The sequence below is a fragment of the Homo sapiens genome, chromosome 1 (assembly GCF_000001405.40).
Source record: "Homo sapiens chromosome 1, GRCh38.p14 Primary Assembly".
In the NCBI taxonomy this organism is placed as follows: Eukaryota; Metazoa; Chordata; class Mammalia; order Primates; family Hominidae; genus Homo; species Homo sapiens.
The window spans coordinates 149,671,455-149,696,306 of record NC_000001.11 but is presented as its reverse complement, the minus strand read 5'-3'; the positions used below and the strand labels follow the sequence as shown (position 1 = coordinate 149,696,306).

General features: G+C 42.1%; 1 long non-coding RNA gene and 1 pseudogene across 1 annotated transcript in view; both read right to left on the bottom strand.

The window, feature by feature from the left end:
* Positions 15,826–21,167, bottom strand: FAM91A2P (family with sequence similarity 91 member A2, pseudogene; annotated as a pseudogene).
* Positions 16,784–24,852, bottom strand: part of LINC00869 (long intergenic non-protein coding RNA 869) — a 72,512-nt gene continuing 64,443 nt past the window's right edge. The window contains exon 9 of the long non-coding RNA NR_111950.1: positions 16,784–20,976. This is a non-coding gene — a long non-coding RNA (long intergenic non-protein coding RNA 869). The remainder of the gene's footprint in view (positions 20,977–24,852) is intronic.

Genomic DNA, 24,852 nt, shown 5'->3' with positions numbered 1-24,852 from the left:
GAGTCTATTCGATTCAGTGTAAGCTATATTTATCCACACGTTGAAGTTTTAGCAGGTACTATAGCAAAGGCTGTGTCTCAAGGCATTTCACTCTTTGAAAATATAGAGCATCCAACCCAGGCCAAACTGTGCTTCTTGGCCTGCACTGAATTCGTTTGAAGACCAGGGCATGAAGTTCATAAAACACAAGGGTTTCAGAGCCATCACCACTGAAGGACACAGGAGCAGCCTATTCAGATTTCATGATCACAGGATCTCCACCTCCATCTTGAGATTTTTTTCAAAGGCAGTTTTATTGCATTCTTTCATAATACTTGAAACTTTTTATTTGCATTTTTGATGTTCCTACTACTCAACAGATCTTGAAGTGAATTATAACAAAGAGGTAAGGGCAGTTTTCAGAGAAAGGCAGTGTCTGTGAACTTTTCAAGTTTGTCTCACAGCAAAAGATCAACAGGCAGAATTTCCTTTTGCTGAAAGATGTTAATGTGGTTTCTAAGGTGTTCCTTAGACATGAGTGTAAAAACAAATTTGGGGAAGAAAGTGCCATTTTCTCCAGCAGTTGCTTTTCTTACTGCAGTGGTTACCATGTTTCCTTCACATCCAAAGTTCAAATGCTCCCACCCTGGGGAAAGTGACAAAATGTTCATTGGATGCCAGGCTGCAGTGTCCAGCTTTGTTCTGCTTTGGCTCAGACTGGAGACTGGGACTGGACTGGACTATGTCTCCCTCACTAGAGACTGGGAGCCCAGTTCCAGATGAGGCAGGCATCATGGTAACTTTTGATTAGGCAATTTTGTGACATCTTTTTCTGCTTTCTTCCCTCTGAAATCTCTCTCTCTCCCTCCCCACTGACCCAGAGGAGAGGATTCACTGTTTTTCTGACTCAGAACATTCTGGGGTCCTTCCTGGACAGAAAAAAAAAGGCAATTGCCCTTTAACCTACAGGAGCAGAAAGGGCTGCAGGTAACTGGAGACCCACAAACTCACTTCGTGGGCCACTGCACATCTGTGCCTTGTGGGATCCTAGCATACCCAAAACTGTGCGGCTTGAAGCTTCTCTGCCCGCTAAACAGGAAGTATGGGGTTCCTGACTCTTCAAGAAGAGCCACACAGAGAGGTCTTAAGCATGCCTCTGGACCTTGAACACAGGCCAGAAAGAGGCTTGAAGGTGAGGGCAGAGTCAAGAAAGGGTGGAAAGACAGGCCAACCCACTCTCCCAAGGGTACCTTCTTCAGGACAGTGATTTACTCCAATTTAGTGATCAGGAAAGGAGAGGATTGTGTAGAGCAATGTCCGTACTTGAAAACATGAATTCCCACCTAGATGTGGAGTCCGAGTAAAATATCGGCATCAAAAAGAACTCTGGTTGGCTGGGCAAGGTGTCTCATGCCTGTAGTCCCAGCACTTTGGGAAGCCTAGGCAGGCTGATCCCTTGAGCTCAGGAGTTTGAGACCATTCTGGGCAAAATGGCAAAACCCTGCCTCTGTGGTGGCACACCTTTGGTCCCAGCTACACCAGAGGCTGACGTGGGAGAATCACTTGAGCCCGGATGTTCGAGGCTGCAGTGAGCCGTGATCATGCTACTGCACTCCAGCCTGAGTGACAGAGCAATACCCTATCTTCAAACAATCAACAACCTGTGATTTTTTTTTCTCTGCGTATTGCAAGGATGAGAACAAAGAGCTCCAACTAAGATGGAAACGGTACAGATGCGAAAGGATTTAGGGGGAAACCTCTGGTGTTCTGTCAGGGACCACTGGCCTTGCTTGAAAGAAATTTCATCCAGGCTGTCTGGTTTCCTGCATGTGTCTCAGGCCTGCTGTTGGTGGTCCCAGGGGCTGAGTGCTTAGCCCCTTCTCAGCTTGGGTGCCTCCCCTTTTGCCTTCTCCCAGCAACCTGGTCCACTGCCATGGTTCCTGTGGCCATCTCTCCAGAGCCATGCTGTCACCTTGAAAAGGGGCATCTCTAGATCAGTTTTTTTTTCACTAAATTGGAATATGAATATATTTATTAGCATGCTCACAAAATAAATGACACATTAATTAGCACTCTCCTCATATGATAAAGAATACATATGACCCACACTGTGGCAGGAAACAGGGGTAAGGGCTATCAGAGCTGGGACTAAGTGTCCACTGAAGAAATCTTGATTCACCGGAGAGAAGTTGTTTCCTTGGATTCCATCATCTCTGCTCTAGCTACCAGCCAGGTCTCCACAACCTTCCCAGAATCCTTCATTCCAGCACCAGTTCATGTTCTTTGCCCTGGACACTCCTGACTCTTTCAAGACCTGAGTCCACTTTCCCATGTCTCACTCACCCACCTCTGAAATCTTGCAGCACATCTCTTTGGTATGCTGCTGCCTGGCCACCATTGGGGGCACAATTGTCAGGTGGAGGAAGAACATACATACCGAAAGCAAAGAGCAGGGATACATTAGTAAATGGCACTTGGACATAAACTAAACAACCCCACAGAATACATGCTTCCTCCCAAAATGATACATAATCCCCTAGAAGCAAAGGAAACCCTTCGGTCAACATGTATGAATGATTCTGTATGCCAGGCACAGGGGATATATAGTGGGTGGTGTTTACTTCCATTGTGCCCTGCACACAGCAGAAAGTTAGTGACTGGAAGACTGGAAGCTAGAACCAGGTCTATATCCCCACTCCCATCAGGTTCTCCTGGCCCTTCCTGCCTTTGATGGTGCCACCACTCTACTTCCTCTGTTCTGAACATTTGTTCATTTTTCAATAGAGAGTTTAAGAGGATGCAGGATGGCAGAGAAAGGGTGGGCATGGAGAAGGGGGAAAACAACCCTGTAAAACAGAACAAAAACTATACAAAACCCCAGAAACCAGATTTAGTACTATAATATTTTATAGCAATAGAAAGTAGCTGAGAATAACCTCAGGGGGAGGAGTCAGCAGAGATTGTGCAGCAGAGGCCACGGGTTTAGACGCCACAGGTTTAGACTAGGAGCCTTTCAACGGACTGCTGAATGGACTGGATCAGCTGTGAGCCTTCTTTGATGGTGACAGAACAGGTGATGACAGGACTGGAGACCCCACAGGCCCGCCCCAGGGCCCGCCTGGAGTGCGCAAACGTTCCAGGCAGGCCCAGCACATTCTTCTCTTCACACAGCAGTGGGAGTGCAGAATGCTCTCTTGCAGCGTGGTGTCTGCAGCCACCACAATGAACTCACAGATGCCTCTGTTGAGGGTTTTGATGGCCTCATTGGTTCCTGTCTGAAGCTGCTTGTGGTTCCAGTGGCTCCGCACTTCTCAAGGAGCACAGCTACTTCAGAATCTCTAGATCACTTTTGACTTGTGCATCTGGCGGGCTTCGTGAGCATTGCAGACAGGTTCACCTTTTGGAGAAACCTTTGGAAGGCAAGAGGAATGAAAAGTGCTTGCTGTTGTTTCCCCGGTGGTCTAGTGGCTAGGATTCGGCGCTTTCACCGCCTGCAGCTCGAGTTCGATTCCTGGTCAGGGAATACATGCTTTGTAAGGTCTCCAAAAGTGGGCGATCTTAGCCCTTGTTACTGGAACTTGCGATGTGCCCCAAAGCCCACTGCAGGAGAGTTTCTGTAGTCTTGGGTGCCAGAAAACTCTGGTGAAGAAGGGGAGTTAATGGCGACCCTCTCCCTGTTTCTCATGCTGCTGACCGAAAATCTTGTTACCTACTCTTTTCTCCCTTGGGCACCCTAGCACTCCTGTTCTTTTCATATCTCCATTTCTCATACAGCAGTACTGACTTCAGAGGTCGACTAAGCAGCTTGCTCAAGGTTATACAGCCATGCATTGATCCACACCTGGGTGGGGCTCCTGCCCTATTTGCTGGGTTGCCATTACTGACAGAATGAGATCTGCATCTGGTAATGGCTTCTTGCTGCTTTCAGAGTAACTCTCCCACAGATAACGACTATAAACTAGAAAAATTTATTTCATATATATATTATATAATTTGAAGGTGCTGGAAGACTGAACAAAAGCAGGCAGACATATGGAAGAATGGCAGGTAGTGAGTATCCCATTTTGCAAACTTTCAGCAGAGGGCTGTTAACTGAAAAACCATACAATTTGTGAGCTTACAGAGGAGAATTTATTTCTTCTAAAGGGTTACAGCATGTAAGGTGGTCATCCTGACAGGCTGGGAATCGCGGGAAGCCCAGAAGCAGGCACTTTGAGGGAGGGAGGGGCAAGACAGTAATTTAAGTTGAATGGGTGGGCCTAAAATACATATTCAACAAGTTATAGGAGGATTTATGAATATTTATGAAGGGGTCCTGATGCATGCTTATTGAACAAACATTCACGTAATATACAACCTTGTTCACCTTGTTATGGATACTTAGCATTTAAATGCATTACAATTAGGCCCTATACACAAAGGTCTTTTCAGGACACAAAGGCACTCAAATGCACAGATACTGTAAAACTGACAGAACCAGTCCATGGTCGCTGGTCTTCTCATCAGAAGAAAGTTACTGAAATCAGTCTCTTGTCAGTCAAGGCTGTAGTTATGGCTTGTGGAACAGCGGGGTTCGGTATCTGGTGAGGGGTGAGCAGCAAGTGCTTCAACACTCCCTATTCTCAAGGCCAGTGCTTGTTTAGCTGCTAGAGAAAATCCTTGTGGCAGTTAGAACATAGTTTATTCTTTGCATATATGGGGTGTGTGAGTTAATCCTTGCCCGGAATAGTCCTAAGTCCTATTTATAAGTTGGTGTCTTATTGCCATAAAGAGTCTGTTCCGTCAGTCTTATGATCTCTGTGATAACATTAATGTTGGTCAGTTTTGTCTAAATTGCAAAGGGGTGGGAATATAATGAGGCTTGTCTGGCCTCTCGTTCCTTCTTGGCCTGGGACTCAGTTTATAAGGTTTGCCTAGGGTCCCGTTGGCCAACGGGGGGTCCCGTTGGCCAACGGGGGGTCCATTTAGTCAGTTGGGGGACTTAGGATTTTATTTTTAGTTTATAGAACAAACTTTGCTCCCCCTTACTTGGATTAGCTAAATTACAATACAAAACCAAACTGTCTTCCTAGATTAAAGGAACAGAGGACAAAGTTTTAGACAACCACAGCAGTTGGAACATCAAGGGGTTAGGTGGAATCTCAGAAAAGAAACAGCACAGTAGGGTGACTACAGCTACCAGCAGTATATTGTACATTTCAAAGGAGCTAAGAAGACAGAATTTGAAATGTTCCCAACACAAAGAAATGATAAAATGTCTGAGATGATGGATATCCTAAACATCCTGATTTGATCATTACACATCGTAGGCATATATCAAAATATCATCTGTACTCCTATAAACATGTATAATTATTCTGTACCAATTTTTGTATTTTTGGTAGAGATGGAGTTTCACTATGTTAGGCAGGCTGGTATCAAACTCCTGACCTCAAGTGATCCACCAGCCTGGGCCTCCCAAACTGCTGGGATTATAGGTGTGAGCCACTGTGCCCAGCTGAATAGTTTTATTGTATACATTGTGGTGATGATTTTTTTGTTTTTTGAGATGGAGTCTTGCTCTGTTGCCCAAGCTGGAGTGCAGTGGTGCGATCTCCACTCACTGCAAGCTCTGCCTCCCGGGTTCACGCCATTCTCCTGCCTCAGCCTCCCAAGTAGCTGGGACTACAGGCGCCCACCACCACGCCTGGCTAATCTTTTTTTTGTATGTTTTTAGTAGAGACAGGGTTTCACCGTGTTAGCCAGGATGGTCTCAATCTCCTGACCTCGTGATCCACCCACCTCGGCCTCCAAAAGTTCTGGGATTACAGGCGTGAGCCACCGCACCCGGCCTGTGGTGATGATTTAATGTGTCCATACTTATTTCCAATCTCAGAAAATTGTGTTCATTACATATGTACAGCTTTTAGTATACCAGGCATACATCAATAAATTGTTTTAAGAAAAAAATAAAGAAAATAAGAAAATATAGTTATTATAATTGTTCTGCGGTGAATAGATGCCAAATAGAGACAAATACAAAATCTAAGAAAACACAGAATATTTGTTGATAAATAGATTTGTACAATAATATTCATGCACAGCAGCCTTCTTCATAATAGTCCAAACTAGAAATAACCAAATTGTCCATCAACAGTGGTGTATTCACATATTGGATAACACTCACCAGTTACACCCAAATAAACTAGATACATATAATAATATGGATACATTTCAAAGATGTGAAAAAAACGCTAACACAAAAAGTGAATTTATATGAATTTCAAGAAGAGAGCAACATAATCTATGGTGATAAACATCAGAATAGTGATAAACTAAGGGGAGAAGGGTGGGATTGCCTGGAAAGGGACTCTTGGACCTTTTTAAATATTTTTTATTTTTTGAATTTGAAAAAAATTTTTTATAGGGATGGGGGTCTTGCCATGTTGCCCAGGCTGGTCTCAAATTGCTGGGCTCAGTCAATCTTTCCACCTCAGCCTCCCAAGTGCTGGGATTACAAGCATGAGCTACCATGCCTGGCATCCACAGACATTTTTGGGATGATGGAAATTTTCTATAACTTGATCTGGGTGATGATTTCATTTGTCAATATTTAATAACCTGTCCTAGTTAATATATTTGAATTTTACACTGTGTGAATTACATTTCAATAGTCTGCTCTTTAGCATAAACATGGCGGGTGGGGGATGGAAGATGGAGACAAGCCAGTGTAGACCATGGCAAGGAGTTTGGATTTTATTTTAAACTCAGTAAAAGCTCACTTTCATCCCCCCTCACCCCCCACAAAATCCCTCCTAATATCTCAAACAGAAGAACAGCTATGACTCACAATTTCATTAGTGGAAACTGCAGGCAAGCCTCTTTGAGAAGAGGCATTTCACCTTGTGTGGTGGTTCAATGCATGCCCAGATGTAAGGCACCTCCAAAGTTCCCAATGACCTAGTGCAGGTGTGTTTTTGATGGCCCTGGCTGTATCATGCTGGCAATTCAGTGGTAAGCCTTGTTCTCTAGTCACAAATAAGGGTTGCAGCCATTGTAAGGAACAGTAAAAACCAGTTATGACCACACCACTGCATTAGTGGAAGCTACCAACATGGCGGTTTGAAAGGTGACATTTTACCCTTTGGGATATTTTCTGCTCAATGGTGAGACATAGGGCATGTCCTGGGCCCTAGGTATGTGCAATGTGGGGTCTCCTTTTTGCCTGACTGCACTGCATTGCAGGAGTCAGTGGTAAACCCTGCTAAAGGACTCAGTCAGTGCACGGATTGAAAACAAACCAAAAGACAGCTCAGTTTCTCCCCAAAAAGATGCCACACACTGCCATTTTGGATTGGAATCAAGGTTCTGCATTCACAACACAAAGTGCCAATCACTATACCACCGTGGCACGCCATAAACTTGCTGGCAGATGCTGAGTTTTCTTTAACACTTTCGATGTAAACATATTCACAATATTTTGTTCTTGCATCACTTGCTTTCTGACAGGTTGAGTGGTAAGAAGCACAAATTCCTATATTCTGTTCTTTCCAAAAATGTTTAGTTTGATCAGAATGCAGGATGTTGAACAAGATAACTAGCCTATCCACTTCAAAAACTTAGCAACAAGGACAAAGAAATGGAGGGACAGCTCTAGGTAAGTAAAGTGCAATTGAGGAACTTTACTTGGAACCTAGGGAAGCAACATCAGTACCACAAGTCACTTCTCTCTCTCTCTTAAATAAATATTATATATACACATACATATATATATTACATGTGTATATAATATATAATACACACACACACACACACACACAGAGTTTAATTAAGCAAAGAAGAATTCCTGAATCAGAAATTTCCAGAACCAGAATAGGTTCAGAGAGGTTCCAGTGCTACCATGTGGTAGAAGAAGATTTATGGATGGAAAAGGGAAAGTGACTTACAGAAAACAGAAGTGAGGTACAAAAATAATCGGATTGGCTACAGCTCTGAGTTTGTCTTATTTGAACCCAGTTTGAACAGTTGGCCACCTTTGATTGGCTAAAACTCAGTCATTGGCTCAAGAGTAGGTTACAGGTTGTTTACACATCCAGTTAGGTTACAGTTCACTACATATGGAGAAACCTTTAATATATGGATAGAGGCAGCTTCCAGCTAATGATATGTATATATCTTTAAGATATTGATGCATATAAATATTATTAAATTAAAACATTTATGCATATGTAATGTGCATGTGTGTTATATATACACATACATACACACATGCACACACTATGTATGCATAAATATCTATATACATGCACATATATGTGTATAGATGTGACATTTTCTAAACAGAAAATTTCTATCTGGACTGTATATTAGATAATGTTATTGAATAAATGTTAATATCCTTAGGTTTGATAATTGAATTGTATTATAATTATATAGGATAATGTCCTTAATCTCATGAAATACATGCTGAACTATTTAGGGATGAAGTGGAGTTTTTTTGGTCTGCATTTACTATGAAATATGAATGTGTGTGTAGATGTGTGTAGACAGAGAAAAAAGGTAAAGGAATGTTAACTGTTGAACTTGGGTGAATGGTGTAGAGGAGTTCTTTTTTTTTCAATTTTTCTATAGGTTTGAAGTCTTTCAAAGTAAATGATTGTGGAGGAAAATGTAAAACATGGGAGACTGTGAAGAGCTGGCTGAATTCTAGGCTAAAATTTGGCTCTCTCTGGGTCTTGGCCTTGCAGGAGGGGGTGACGGATCTCAGTACCTCTCACTGCTAGAAGAAAGTGTAGGTTGCCAGCCTGGTGTACAAACCTATCTAAAGGATCCCCTCCTGTTACCCAGGATATGGGTGAAGTGTCTTCTTAGTCCTTCTTACATGAATCAGCCTTCTAGCCTGGAAGTCTGGTAGGTAAGTTTGAGGCTAATTTGTATGTTTCAAAGCTTCTGAAGAAGATGTCCCACTTTTACATTGGATTGCAAAAGACAAGTCAGTGTGTGTGAAGAATTTATTTTCAGAAAAAGAAATCCAAAGGAGAGTAAGTTAGTTGAAATCTAACAGTCCCATTGGAGTATACTGTTTTTACTTGTTGGTCCTTCAGAAATCTCAAGGGTGGGAATTTGGCCTATACAGGAAGATTTTTCCAGATGATGAGTAAACAGCAAACTTTCAAGATCATTCTTTGGCAGAGATTCTACTGAGGCAGGAAAGTGGCAGGACTTATTTTGCGGTTGTGGCCCAGTTGATCAGAGCAGGATCTGGTCCAAACAGGGTGCAGTAAAGAAGCTGACCAAAACCAGCAGATGGAGACAAAAGCTACCTCTAGTTGCCCTCACTGCTCATTAGCATAAAGACACTCCTACCAGTGCCATGACAGTTTATAAATGCCATGTCAACATGCCATGGCAATGGCCAGGAAGTTACCTTATATGCTTCTGGAAACTCCTCATCCCTTTTCCAAAAAGTTCTGAATAACCCACTTCCTAATTAGCATCTAATTAAAAGCATCTAAATAAATACAGCTAGCTAGCAACCCACACACTGCCCATGGGTTAGCCTTCCTCCACGAGAAGCAGTACCAGTTTAACAAAAGTTGCTTTCTTTCACCGCTGGGTTGCCCTTGAATTCTTACCTGGGCAAAGCCAAGAACTCTCCTGGGCTAAGCCCCAATTTTGGGGTTGTCCTTCCTTGCATCATCTGGTGACCACAAAGACAAGACAAGATGGGACAGGACATGATATAACACAGGACAGGACAGAGTCAAGAACTGTTTAAGGCAGGACACTTGGTCGTGAAAAGTCCCTTACTGTGCTGACCCTGAGATGCCAAAGTCACATTGTTCAGTGGCCCCTAACTTGGCCTTTGGGGTTCACCATTGCCTCCCCTGCAGTTTCAGCATTCAGTGTGGGGACCATCACTGGCTGATACTTGGGTACTCTGGGTTTTTGGCATTTCGTTGTGGTGAGAGTTCCACTGTCACTGTTGGCCTCTCCCTGGATGCTCTGGGGTTTTCAGCATTGACATTCCCTATAGGATTGTGGATTAGAGCTCCTTCCCTGGAGGAGTGTGGATGTCATCTTCTCCGCCCTTAAATTAAAAGATTAAGATTTTCCATAACAGCCAGTTGTGGGCCCCCTCCTACGTGACTTTGCTCAAGCCCATATTGAACTCTTGGTCAGAGGGACCAGGGGTTCCTGGACCCCTGGCCCAAGTGACAACTACCCATAGTGGCAGACAAGCAGCAGCCACCCAAACATTTTGCCCAAATATTTTTCCTCAGTCTCTGTGGCTGCTGGGTAGATTTTCTGGCACCTCAGTCTGGACAACGCTGTTCATGCTTTCCCTTCCTCCCTTCCATGATCACCTTGTTTCTTTTAACCCCTCTTTGCCCAAACTAAAATGCTTTCTTCACTCTGTGGAATTCAGACCCATCATTTTACTTCGCATTCATATTTCATAATCTACTTTCATAACGCTTGGCTAACTGTACTTACATCTTCTCTGCAGGAGGTGGGAATTTGAAAGGGAAAGTAACTGAGCTTTTGCTAGACTTAGAAAAACTTCTGGGTGTAGTAGAGATCCTTGTTAGACATGGGGACAAAGGCGAGCATCCCAAAGGACTCCCCACTAGGGTGTCTTTAAGGCAATTGGAGCAAATTCAAATGAGATGGCTCAAAGAAAAAGAAACAATTTTCTTGGGAGAACAAGAAATTTGGCCTGAAACTTGTTCTTTACATTATCATACTATTTTACAATTGGACTTATTCAGTAAAAAGGAAGGAAAATGAGGAGAAGTTCCTTACGTACAGGCTTCTATGGCCCCCTACCAGGATTCTGACTTAAGAGTCAACTGCAGGATGTGTCTGGCTCATGTTACTTCCAGGCACCAAGAAACCGCGTGGGATATCCTCGATGCTCCCTTCCTAGCGGCACCCCCTGGAGGGCCCATGCCCTCTCCAGGGTCTTCTCAGTCCCCCAGTTCTGCGAGGGGTCCTGCCAGTTCTCCAGTGTGGGATTTCACCCCAATGTCATCAGAAAACCCTCCCTTTTATTTAGCTAGCTCCAGCCTGTATCCCCCACTGCCCAAGGAAGTAAGCCCAACCAGAACCACCAGGAGTGGAGCTCTCTATCAGCCCCTCAAATTGAATCTGTGTCCATTGCTGGAGTTAGCTGGCAGAGATAGGGGAACAATCAGAGTATATGTGCCATTTCCTTTGTCCAAATTGGCTTTCTTCAAGGAGAAATATGGCTGGTTTTTGAAGGATCCAGGGAAGTTTATAGAGGAGTTTGTCAGGTTGATGATGTCCTTTGATTTAACTTGGCACAACTTGCAAATATTATTGTCCTCTTCCTGTATTATAGAGGAGAAGAGAGGGATTCTGGGTACTGGCCTGTGAATATGCAGTTAGAGTAGCTGCTCATATCCAAGGCCATACCATTTATGTAGGGGGAGATGCAGTTCCACATAGAGACCCTCAGTGGGATTACCAGAAGGGTTCCCAAGAACTTGAACATAGAAATCACATGCTAACTTGTTTAATAGAAAGTATGAAAAGGTGTGTGATTAAGCCAGTTAATTATGACAAGGATAGAGAAGTAACTCAGTGGAAGGATGAAAATCCCATTCTGTTTTAGGGCTGCTTGGTTGAGGCACTCAGGAAATATACTAATGTAGACCCAGACAACCCGGAAGGGCGGGCTCTTCTGGGCATGCGTTGTATTACTCAATCTATCCTTGACATTAGGAGGAAGTTACAAAAGGCAGGAATGGGACCCCAAACTCCATGAGCCAACTCTTAAACATGGCCTTTGGAGTTTACAACAATAGGGACAAGGCAGAGGAAGAGGATAAAACCAAAAGAAATAGCCAAAAAATGCAATTGTTTGCAGCTGCTTTCAGCCTCCTACTGCTTTTGAGCTGCCCATCCTGAGAAAGTGTTGCAAGAGTGGCTTTGGGATGCCCAGACAAAAGCCAGCTCATCATCCCCTAGGCTGGAATCAGTGTGCCTTCTGTAAGCAAGAGGGCCACTGGAGGAAAGACTGCCTCAGTCTCCAAACGGAGTCTGAGCTTCTCGGACCCCTAATGGCTAAGAGAACAGAGGACTGACAGGGCCCAAGATTCCCTACAGCTTCCACCAGACACCTTGCCATCTCTACAGAAGAGCCTCAGGTAATTCTTGACATGGCGGGTAAAAATATTGAGTTATTGGATATGCGAGCCGCCTTCTCAGTTCTGATCTAGTCCTTGGGGCCGCTGTCTTCCCACTCCTGTACTGTAATGAGGATTGATGACCAGCTAAAAGCTAGGAGATTCACCCATTCCTTTAGTTGCACTGTGGGGAACCATGTTTTTCCACAGATTTTTGCTTAGTCTTGAGTGCCTTATTCCTTTACTGGGAAGAGACTTACTTTCCCAATAACAGGCTGCAGTTCCATTTGGAGCACCTCAAGAGAAGGCCACAGGCTGGGAAGGGACACTTCTCCTAGCTCTAAGTTCATGTCTTTACACAGATAAAGAAAAGACGTTCCTTCCATCAAATATTACTTCTCAAGTAGACCCGTCTGCTTGTGACATGGTAGTTCCTGGAAGAACTGCAAATGTTCTCCCAGTCCAGGTTATTTTGAAACCCAGTGTTAATTATCTATGGGAAAAAAAATATCCTTTTAAGTGTGGTGGCCCATGCTTTTAATCTCTGCACTTTCGGAGGCCAAGGTGGGCATATCACTGGAAGCTAGGAGTTTGAGACCAGCCTGGCCAACAAGGCAAAACCCCATCTCTACTAAAAACACAAAAATTAGCTAGGTATGGTGGTGTACATCTGTAATCCCAACTACTCAGAAGGCTGTGGCAGGAGAATTGCTTGAACCCGGAAGGCAGAGGTAGCAGTGAGCCTTGCGCCGCCGCACTCCAGCCTGGATAACAGAGCAAGACTCTGACTCAAAAAAAAAAAAAAGAAAAATCCAGTATCCTTTTAGACCTTTGGCTCCAAGGGCCATCCATCCCCTGATAATGAAGTATGGATTATTACAATCCTGTCAGTCCCAACGTAACACCCCCATTTTTCCTGTTAATAAGCCAAACGGGGAATATAGATTTGTTCAGGATCTTAGGGCAGTTAATGAGGCATTAGTTCCAGTCACCCAATAGTTCCTAATCTTTATACAATAATAACTCAAGTCCCTGAAGATGCTTATTGGTTCATAGTATTAAATTTAAAAGATGTTTTCTTTCACACACCTTTACACCTGGACACCCAATACATTTTTGCATTTGAATGGACTAATCCAGACACTCATGCTGCATCTCAGCTTACCTGGACTGTCCTGTCCCCAAGGTTTTAGGACAATCCCCATCTGTTTGGCAATGCATTGGCAAAAGAGGTATGGGAACTACAGTTAATTAATGGATCCCTCTTACCATATGTGTATCACCTATTAATTTCCAGCCCTACTAGGGGAAGACTCTGAGAAACATACAACTTCAAGTCCTTAATTTTGAAACAAAACAAGGGTATCAGGTATCCCCCCGAAAGGCCCAAATTTCTGTCCAAAGGGTCACGTATTTGGGACACATTCTCACTCCTGGGACCAGGATCTTGACCCAGGGATGAAAAGAGACCATCCTGGCACTCCAGGTCCCTCAAATTCCTTTTTGAGAATAGCTGGATTCTGCTGGGTTTGGATTCCCAGGTTTGGGCTCATAGCAAAACCACTCTACGAACCTCCAAAAGTGAGTGGTTATAAGCCTTTGAATTGCAATGGAGCCTGTCAAAAGGCATTCTTAGCCTTAAAAGAAAAGCCAGGGACAGCCCCTGCTTCAAGACTCTCGAACTTAGAAAAACCTTTCATCCTCTATGTGGATGAATAACAAGGGACAGCTTTGGATGTTCTAACTCGAAGGGTCAGGAATTGCCTCAGACCAGTGGCTTATTTCTCTAAACAGCTAGACCAGGTGGCAGCTGAGTGACCAGGAAGCTTGAGATCTGTGGCTACCATCACTCTATTGGTAGAAGAAGCCAGTAAGTTTACCTTGGGACAACAAGTAGATGCCATACCACCCCCGCCCCCCACCACCCCATGAAGTACAGTACAGAGGGTCCTAGAGGCAAAAGTATACCAATGGCTAATAGGGGGCCAGTTACTTAAATATCAGGCTCTTCTGCTTGACACCCCAGATGTTACCCTTAAAGTATGCTGATTTTTAAACCCTGCTACTCTGTTGCTGGACCTCACATCCCAAGAAACAGATCCCCAACTCATTGACTCCTGGGTGGAAACCATGGAAGAGATCTACTCTAGAAGGTCCAACCTTGAAGACAAGCCCTTGTCTAACCCCAGTGTTGAGTGGTTTAGAGATGGAAATAGCTTTATTCATGAGGGAGTAAGAAAGGAAGGTTAGCTAACAAGAAGTCATTGAGGCCAAGGGTTTACCTTCTCAGAATTCTGCTCAAAAAGCAGAATTAGCTGCTCTAATCAGGACCTTCCAACTGTGAAAAGACTTAAGCCTGGGTTGGATGGCTCACGCCTGTAATCCCAGCACTTTGGCAGGCCGAGGTGGGTGGATCATCTGATGTTGGGAGTTCGAGACCAGCCTGGCCAACATGGCGAAACCCTGTCTCTACTAAAAATACAAAAATTATCCGGGTATGGTGGTGGGCACCTGTAATCCCAGCTACACGGGAGGGTGGGGCACAAGAATCACTTGAAACTGAGAGGCAGAGTTTGCAGTGAGCCAAGATCATGCCACTGCACTCCAGCCTGGGCGACAGAGCAAGACTCTGTTTCAAAAAAGAAAAAAAAAACCCTCAAGAGTCAATGTGTTTACTGACTCTAAGTATGGTTTCCGGGTGCTTCAGGCTCATGCAACCATAGGGAAGGAAAGGGGACTATCAAGAGCCAAGGGATCCCCCATACAACTTTACTCAGATCTTGGAACTTTTAGATGCCATCCAATTCCCAAAGAAATAACAAGTATTCACTGCAGGGGACACCAGAAGGGAGACACTGTTCTTATTAGAGGAAATTCCCTTTTGGAAAGAGCAGCTAAGGCCACAGCTAAGGAAACCCTGGTATTTCAGGCTGCTGCGCTACTACCAGGTCATCCATGTCAGTGGAACCGTACTATACACCCAAGGAAATTAAAGGGACTGAGTAAAAGGCTTCCAGTAAGACCCCTCTAGACGCTTGCTAGAAAAGAACAAACTCTATTCCTGAGGCTGACAAATGGGAAATAATTTAACATTTTCATGATTCCTCACATTTGGGACAGGATTTTCCATTCAAATTAGTTTCCTAAATATTCTTGGGGAAGGGACTGTTCTAATCTATAAAAAGATTTACCAATCAGGAAGCCACCCCATACCCCACTCCCTGCTTAAACTTGTACAACACCACGGAACATACCATAGTGAAGACTGGCAGACAGATTTAACCCAGATGCCACCTTACAGGGGACTACAATATTTGCTAGTATTTATAAACACTTTCACCAGGTGGATAGAAGCTTTCCCCACAAGGACAAGAAAAGTATTGGAAGTGTCTAAATTCTTACTTAAAGAAATCATCCCAAGATTTGGATTACCAAAATGTTTGCAAGGGGATAACTGACCTCCCTTCCCAGCTAAGGTGACCCAGTGAGGTAATGCCTCAGCCTTAAGCATTACCTATCTTCACTCTTCATGGAGATCTCAATCTTCAGATAACATAGAAAGCCAGTTGTGACATTAGCAAAACTCTTTCAGGAGACCTCAGAGGCCTGAGTTTTCCTCCTACTCATAGCCCTTTTGCATATGAGGATGGCTCCAAAGAGAACTTTAAAGCTTAGTCCATTTGAAATGACTTATGGAAGGCCTCCGCCTTTTTTTTAACTTGATCAACACCACAGTTTAATTGTAAACATGTCATATGTGTCAATGATCAAATTGACAACACTTTATAGATTTCATTGTATAATATTAACATCCTAACAGAAAAAGATCCACTGTACTCATTTACAGTTTGGTATTTTAAAATCCTTAAATACAAATTGTATTTGAAACACTGAACACAAAAAAGAAACTTGAATGCCAGAGAAAACTGAAAACATCAAGTAAAAGAAACCAATATTCCGCCCCCCCCAAAAAATATAAAATCATCTGATTACATAATTTAAAAAAGAAATAAAGGAAATCAGATGATCTTATTTTTTAATGATATAAAGTTGCGTTTCTTCAAACCCATTTTAGATGTGAAATGTACCATTTTAAGTTATATGTCTTTTTTGGTATGTGTTCTTCTTTTCCTCTTGGTTTCTAAAGAATGTTTTCCAGGATTTAAATTACATTAAAGAAGTCGGGAAAGAAAGGAAGGAATGTGGTAAAAAGCCAAATTAAATTAACTATTTGGAAAATAATTGGATATAAATTTTTCATGAATCTTCTTTGGCAAGTAACAAAGTCTGCATTTTAAATTTACCTTTTTGTTGAAATGGATCAATACTTGTAAGATTTAAGACATTACATGAGTTAATGTATAAGTAAAAGGAAGCCAAATTCACAAAGCAACGTGCAAACATGAACTTTTCACATTTTTGCTAAAAGCTCTAAAAATGCACTCTCCCTCCTTGAGAGTATGAGAGGTCTTCAGCTCAGAATCAGATGATTACTCTTGCCTCATTCAACACAAGAAACCAGAGGGGACCCCATGGTTTTTCAGTACTTTCCCTAAAATTCATGATTACCATTAGGTTCCATTTCTTCCTCCTTTATCTCTCAAAAGAAATATAGCAGCAAATCACTCCCATATTTTAAGCTTTAAATTCACCAACAACTGGGCTCACTGCCAACAAATACAAATGTTCAATTCTTTATTAGTGTACGTGTCATTACAGTTGGTTTAGATGGTTAATATAGGAATACAGAAAATAACTACAGTTCATTCAAACAAAGGAAATTAAAATGAGATTAAAGAGCCCTGATTAAAAAAAAATACAACTTTCAGCTGAAAAACTGTAAAAGTTACATACATACATACCTAATGGCACTAAGAATGTACAATATCAATTATTGGAAAAATAAGTGAGTGACTCACAGTCATAAGAAATAATTTAATATTAGTATTTTTCTTTTATAGACAAACATAACATACACATGGTTTCTACCTTTTATAAGGCAAAGTAGAAAACTAACCGTTACTGCATTTACCTCAAACACAGCACTGACTGTGCCACAGATAACATGGTCCAAAATATTCAATTCTATACATAGGCCATGGTAGTGGATGTGTGGTTAAGTTTTAGGAAAGGCATATATTTCCAGAAGTAAGTATGTTAAATACACAAATGTCTATAAATAACAAAAAGTTATCAGCAAAAACGCTTAGGTTATAACATTCCCAAACGTTCTAACATTTTAAGTGTTTTAGATATGAGTTGTCTGACCAGTTCATTTGGTTACAGTTTTAAACTAGCAAACCATTGCCCTATAAGAGGAGCTAAACTAAACTGTTAACACTACACAAACTTCCCAAGAAAGGTAACTTGAAAAGTCTAAAAAGTGATTCCAATTATTCTAATTAACATTTGAGATGCTAAAAGAATCAATGACTCAAGAAACACTTTGAAGTAATTCCATTTTTCTTTATCATTTTCTAAAAATGTATTCACATAAATTTAAGATCCAGATTGCTTAAGAGTATGTCTTCAAAGTAGGTTAATCACTAAAGCATTCTGATCCAAAGACATAGTCTTAATGCTTCTAATATGTAATTCTAACCTAAAATCACAATCCTTGGTTTGAAAACATCAAAGGTAAGAAACAAAAAAATAAATCAGGGTGAAAATGTGCAGCAGCTATAGCTACAAGAGTGGAAAATAAATTCTACTTTTTCCATAAAGACTCTGTGAAAATATAAAGCCCAAAGTCAGTGACAACAGAAGTCCACATATAAATGGTGTTTAAAAATAGAAAGTTTTCTAAAGCTTCTCATGAGATGTCAACGAATAGTCATAATCTGAATTAAGACCTTATAAATCAAGGTTAAGTTATACATAACCATGATGATTTACATACCTTCTACAATGTCCAACTGACATACATAATTTAGATACCCATAGGAATTCATAATGCCCTATCATATCATCTCCCAATACTGGATGTTTACTGTTTTATAGTTTTACTACTTTAAGTACCAAGAAGCATTTTCAGAGGAAGAGTTCCATCTCTTCCCTTGATCCCCCAAAGTATAGGTAACAAAATATAAAGTTAAACAAGATTGATGTTTGATAAACTAACATATAAAATTATCATTGCAATTTTCACAGTGACTGCTTTTAAACATAACAGTCATCATAAAGCCTATAAAGTATATACTTAGTTTTATAAAAGAAATGCAGATTGTCTCAAGGTAAAAAAATACAGTGCTGGATGCTAAAAAGCACTTTGTTGCAATAAGATGTGCAATAAGGAGCAAAACTTCAGAAAACATGAATATGTTCCCCAAACTTTTAATATTAGTAAAGCAAGAATTGCTCCGCAGCAGCAGGATGCTTTTTAGTGGCTGACACTATAAAGCTAACGTTAAGAAAGAAAAAAGGCAGAAAGTGTGAGCAGCAAATGGTGTAACCAAATTATTGCAAATGGAGATTAGCAATAAGTGAGGAAGGTGACCATCCACTCCGTTCTGATAAGACACTATCTTTAAATGTTAAATTTTTTGCAGGAAGTGGAACACCCATGTCAGCAAACGATGACTGTGAAAGCAAACTTGAAAAACTGGGCTCTGTGTGAATATCCAATGTTGAAGCACCTTCCTGGAATGAGTGAACAAAGTTAAGGACTTGCAGAGAGAGTTTTCTACTGGAATGTAAGAGGTTTTTGAAGGCTCTCTTTTCTGCAAAGGCCATGTGTAGCAATTTTTCTATATACTTTCCGGTTTAATTCGGAACTGAACAGTGGAATTCCAAAGCACAGCTCGAGAGGAACCCAATCTGCTTCTGTTGTGGCACCAGAGGTTTGCTTTGTTGCTGAATCTATAGTTGCTTCTTCAATGACCATTTCAAATGACTCTGTACTCCCATTTAACATCTGAGCCAGAAGCCAAATCAGGTTTTCCTCTCTCATCAGAAGCATCACTGAGTTTTCTATTTGCAAGTTGGCTGGAAGCATTCAACATGGTGACATATCCGCAGAGATGTTGTAAGTCCACTCTGTTCCTTAGTATCTGCAATGCTTTATGAACACCCATATTGACACGAGTCTTCTTGTAGTTCTGTTTCATCAAATGGAAATGGGACATGGACAGTTTCTCCTATCCCATGCAGACCATGCTCCTGAATTAAAACTGCAGAATGTGTTAAAGCATCATTCAACATCGTGAGCACATTTGAGGTAGGAACTACTCCAGGATCATGACCCCAAGATGTTATTAGCAATCGATCGTAACTCTGAAATATATCTGGCAGTTTTCGAGGTCTTGTACCTTTGGATAATAAAAGGGATGGTGGTCCTTGTCCAGTGATATGATAAACGTAAATGTACTGTTTAAACCAGACAGAGCTGACTTCTGGGATAGCTGGTCCAATATGCTGAGGGGTGCAGCTGCTGACAGGCCGGATTTCATTGGTGAGGGGAGCCATGGAAACAAGCAGTGTGTAATTTTTGTTTAGAACTCTGCTGCCAGTTGCAGGGTCCAGACCAAGAAGGCTTTCACAGCGTAAGAGATCCAGAGGAAAACCATAATTGGGTTGGTCTGGCTGTGCAGTTTGCACAACTAGATCTTTGTTATGACGCAGAAACAGTGTTGTGTTTCTCAGAGTAAGCGCATGCTCAAAATATCTCTGTGCTTCTCTTTCACCAGTGCTCTGAACTGGTGAAAGATTTCCCATCATTAAGAAGGCAGTAAGAGTGGAGTCAAACAGGAATGCGATGTGCTTCGTGTGTCCTGCAGACAGACTCAGGCTTCTTACACTGGCTGTGTCAGCTGGATCTTCTTGACTATTTGTATCAGTGTCAGTTGCCGATGAAGCTTCTTGTACAGGCCTCCTACTTTCCCCTCCACCCCATGACAAGAGCATCTTCTATGGATCTAAGGTACTCTTTAATCTGTTTATGGATGGAACATTCTTCCATGATGAATGAAGTTGATCCAAATTTATTACTTGTCCCTTCTTATGGGCAAAGCCCAATCAGCAATACATTGAAACAGCATTCTTAACCAGGGATAAGTCAATCTCAAGGACATTTGCAAGCTCTGCCACATTTGTGTGCTCATCTACTGAAACAAATATCTTATAGAGTAGAGTTTCAAAATAATCAAAATAAGCACTCGATTCATTACAAAACCTTCAAGGGGTGCAACTGCTATACAACTGTCATCAGACATTGGTACATCCAGATAAATAAATCCTTTTTTATACAAACTATGTACTACATTGTAATCTAGTGATCCAGAGAGTTGAGGGCCTGAATCAACGGTCTTATCAGTAGCACATTTCTCAGGCCAAGTGCATATCTTGATGTCATCTTCTGTGATATATCCAGCCTGCACCACCCACCATGCCTCTATGGCAATTTCCACTGGCTTTATTGGTAGAAGATCACCGGCTGTTTTCCTTCTGAAGAATTTTTTTGATGATCTACACTGAATCATAAGATCAATATACTGGTTTCTTCCTATGCCAAGAAGCCTTAGACAGTCAGCAGCAGTAAAATTGTGCCCACTGTTCATAATATTCTCCATAATCCCAGTGTAATATGAAAATGGTGTTATGCTGAAGCCCTTCACCATAATATCCAATAGACGGTAAGGGTACAGCATGAGATGATCTCGGCTGTAGTTTAGCAGTTCCTCATAGTATCCGCGTTCATCTTTCTTGACATGTTTAAGTTATTTCTGTATCGTAACTGATTGCAGATACTGTACAGGACAACCTGATTTTCATATTCTCTCTGTGAATTTCCAACACGGCTGGGATTTTCTTTCTCCTCTGCCACTCTGAACAGCAGGACCAATACTTCCTGTATTTCCTCCTCCTCAGCCTACTTGATGTGAAGACAAAGATGAAGACCTCCATGATGAGCTATCTCCACTTAATGACTGCCTCACATTGGCCGGCAAATTGTTCCAGGGGTAGTTGTGCCGGATGTGGAACTCCACGTCTATGTTCACGATGCCGCCGCCAGGGCCTGCGGCGGGGGCCGCGACCGCGACCCACCCTAAGCCTCCCGCCTGCCCGCCCGCAGACCGGCGCCTCACACTGCAGAGGCCCTGGCTGCCCCATGACCTGGGCTCCCATGGGCTTAACTGACCTGGGACAGTTAAGCGCGGCCCGGGCCAACCGAGCACTGGGTCGCCTGAGCAGCTCGGAAGGCCCTTTTTAACTTTAGACCTTCTGTTTGATGAAGAGACACATAGATTATCAACTTAGGCCAGGTTCAAAATATGGAAATGAAACGTAACCTCCCACAAGGAAAAGGATTAACTCCCCCATTCAACCAGGAGACTTAGTCTTACTAAAAACTTAGAAAGAAGGATCCCCCAAGAATCAATTACAACCAAAATAGAAAGGGCCCCTATCAGGCATTATTAAACACTCCCACTGCTGTTAAACTCCAAAGTTAATTTTTTTTTTTTTTTTTAAGAAGTCTTGCTCTGTCGCCCAGGCTGGAGTACAATGGCTCGATCTCGGCTCACTGCAACCTCCACCTTCTGGGTTCAAGCAATCCTCCTGTCTCAGCCTCCTGAGTAGCTGGGATTACAGGCACGTGCCACCAGGCTTGGCTAATTTTTTTTTTTGTGTGTGTGTATTTTTAGTAAAGATGAGGTTTCACCATGTTGGCCAAGCTGGTCTTGAACTCCTGACCTTGTGAAATGCCTGCCTCAGCCTCCCAAAGTGCTGCGATTACAGGCATGAGCCACTGTGCCCAGCCTCAAAGATTCTTATGAGTCCTCACAGATGTCAGAGGAAGATACCATGACCTATACTTGCAAACTCCCAGAAGACTTAAAGCTATTGTTTTGCAAATGCACAGATAAATATTAATAACATGATGCTGTGGATGAGCATGAAAGTTTTTCTCTTACTCCTAATTATAATATTTTCTCTCTTACCGCTTTGCCCTGCTGATGGAATTCAATAAAGGAATCTCTACCAGCAGACACTTGATTTTTACCCTTCCTAGGACCTTTAACAGATATCTTGTTATTACTAATCTTTGGTCCTTGCTTGTTTAACCTCCTTGTAAAGTTTGTGTCTTCTAGATTACAATAATTCCATGTAAAGATGATGCTGGCACAAGGCTTTCAACCCATCCCCTCTTCTGACCCAGAAAATAAAGACATCCTGCCTTTGGGTCTTTTAGAACAGGTATCCAGAGATTTTACTTCTCCAGTGCTAGGCAGAGTCTATGCCCATAACATCAGCAGGAAGCAGTTACAGAAGATGAACCTGCACCCTTCTGCAAGCCCCTTAAGATTAAGGAGGAGTATATAATCTCTGATGGGGAAATGAGGTAGGAGACCAGAAAGACTTATTTTCCAGTCACAACCCCATTGAACAGAGCAGGATCTGGTCAAAACAGGGTGCAGTGGAGAAGCCTGCTGAAACCAGCAGATGATGATGAAAGTGACCTCTAGTTGCTCTCACTACTTATGAGCATAAAGACACTACCACTGGGACCATGGCCAGTTTACAAATGTCATGGCAACACACCTTGGCAATGGCCTGGAAGTTACTTTATACGGTTCTAGAAACTCCCTGCCCCTTTTCCAGAAAGTTCTGAATAACCTACCTCTTAATTGGCATGTAATTAAAAGTGGGTCTAAATACAACTAGCTAGCAGCCCACAGGCACCAACTCTGGGCACACTGCCTATGGGTTAGCCCTGCTCTGCAAGTAGCAGCACCAGTTCAATAAAAGTTGCTTTCTTTCACCAGCGGCTTGACCTTGAATTCTTTCCTTGGCAAAGCCAAGGAAACTACAGTCTGGGAGAAATTTCTCAGGCTACAAACCAGTTTTGAGGTTCGCCTGCCCTGCGTCACTACCATTGTTTCCTTGGGTTTCCCAGGAATGTACATGTGTGAGACTGCTGCCCTGCTTATAGATCTGTTTCCCTGCAGGAAACAGGAGTATCTTGCCTGGGGCTTCCAGAGTTGGAGATACATGTAGTTTCACTACTGAGTGCTAACATTTAATTTTGGAATCAAGTGATGCATTCAGACTGGCTGCTATCATTCTGTGGTATACATGTAGTGAACACATTTGTGACTGAGTTTCCTGCTTTTAGCTGGAGCAAGAAAGTTTTGTAATTGTGCTTTGTACAAAAAAATCATAGGCAAGAGAATGTGTGTAAAATAAACTTTATTGTCAGAGGTTTCTAAAGGCTTATCCTTCAAGGAAAATGGACATATGCTGAAGAGCTGATAAACAGTCTACAGCAGTGTTATTCTAACTTAATCTTGATTCCAAGTCCTTGCCATTTTCCTCTAGCTGCTGTTGACTCCAGTTATATATAGGTTGGGGGAAAGGGGATTATTTATGGATCTAGGCATCACTGTCTCTTGGGCAGTTATCACATTTGCAGACTGAAGGGATGTGATTTCTACAATCAAACTATCCATTTGGAATACAAATCTGGAGTGGCTATAAAATTTGCTTCTCAGAGATGGAGCTTTCAGATTTGGACTTTCAATTGTTCTGTTGTTTTAGTTTTTCTCATCAACTGGGGAACTGTTTGTGACTAAGCTTTGTTAAAAGTAGAGAAGAACTTTCCATAGTTCCAACATTAGTTGCTACTTGAAACAAACAAAAACACACACACACATACAACGAAACAATAATCTTTGGTGAGGTCTTGCTGATACCTAACTGAGGCTAGAGTGAGAGCTAAGTGGTGATACAGGCCAGGTGCAAACTGAGTGCAGCTAAGTGGATAATCTCTGGTAGTGAACTACAGTCTAGAAGAAGATAGTAATAATAGATTGAAAAGAAAGTCTCCTGAAATGAACTAGCTGGCCTGTGGTGTAGGACACAGGACCCCAGCCACCTTATGGCTCTAAAAGCCTTGCTCAAAGCCACTGCAGATGAGTTAGCTAGGTCTCTACCACCTCCATAATACTCCTCTGGAGAGAAATAAAGGTCTTTCACACCTCCCAGGAAGGGATTTGCTTAGCCTCAAATGTGCACATTCAGAAATAGCTTGTCATAAGAAAGAGAGGATAGTTTGCAGAGAAATAACCCTTGTAAGTCCACATCCTATTCCTTTTAAATAAGAGAGTGGTGCCAAGGGAAGAGCCCTAGAATGTCAAAGCCAACAGGGTGCTCAGATACCACCCAAGTACAGTTCCATCTTTGGCCATAAGGAGACAATGGTGTCAAGAGGCTAAGGCCATATGATCTGTAGGTGAAAAACCTGGGATGAGAATCAAGGCCTCAAACCTTTTCCACTACATCACAGATTTAGGAGCAGTTAGACGGAAGGCTTCAATCTGGAGAACACTAACAGGTTTTAGAGATTATTGGGTCATGGTGGCTGGGACAGAAATAAGGATTCACAGAAAGATGTTTATAGTCAATGTTCTTTTACAGTAAATGTTCTTTTGGGATTTTCCTTGATAAAAAGGCTGAGCAAAAGTGAAAAAAAATTTTCTTTCTTTCTTACTTTCTTTCTTTGTCTTTTTCTTTCTTTCTTTGTCTTTTTTTTTCTTTCTTTCTTTCTTTTTTTTTTTTTTGAGACAGTTTTGCTCTTGTTGCCCAGGCTGGAGTGCAATGGTACAATCTTGGCTCACCACAACCTCCACCCCCAGGGTTCAAGCAATTCTCCTGCCTCAGCCTCCCAAGTAGCTGTGATTACAGGCAGGTACCACCACACCCAGCTAATTAAAAAAAAATTTTTTTTTTAATTTTTAGTAGAGAC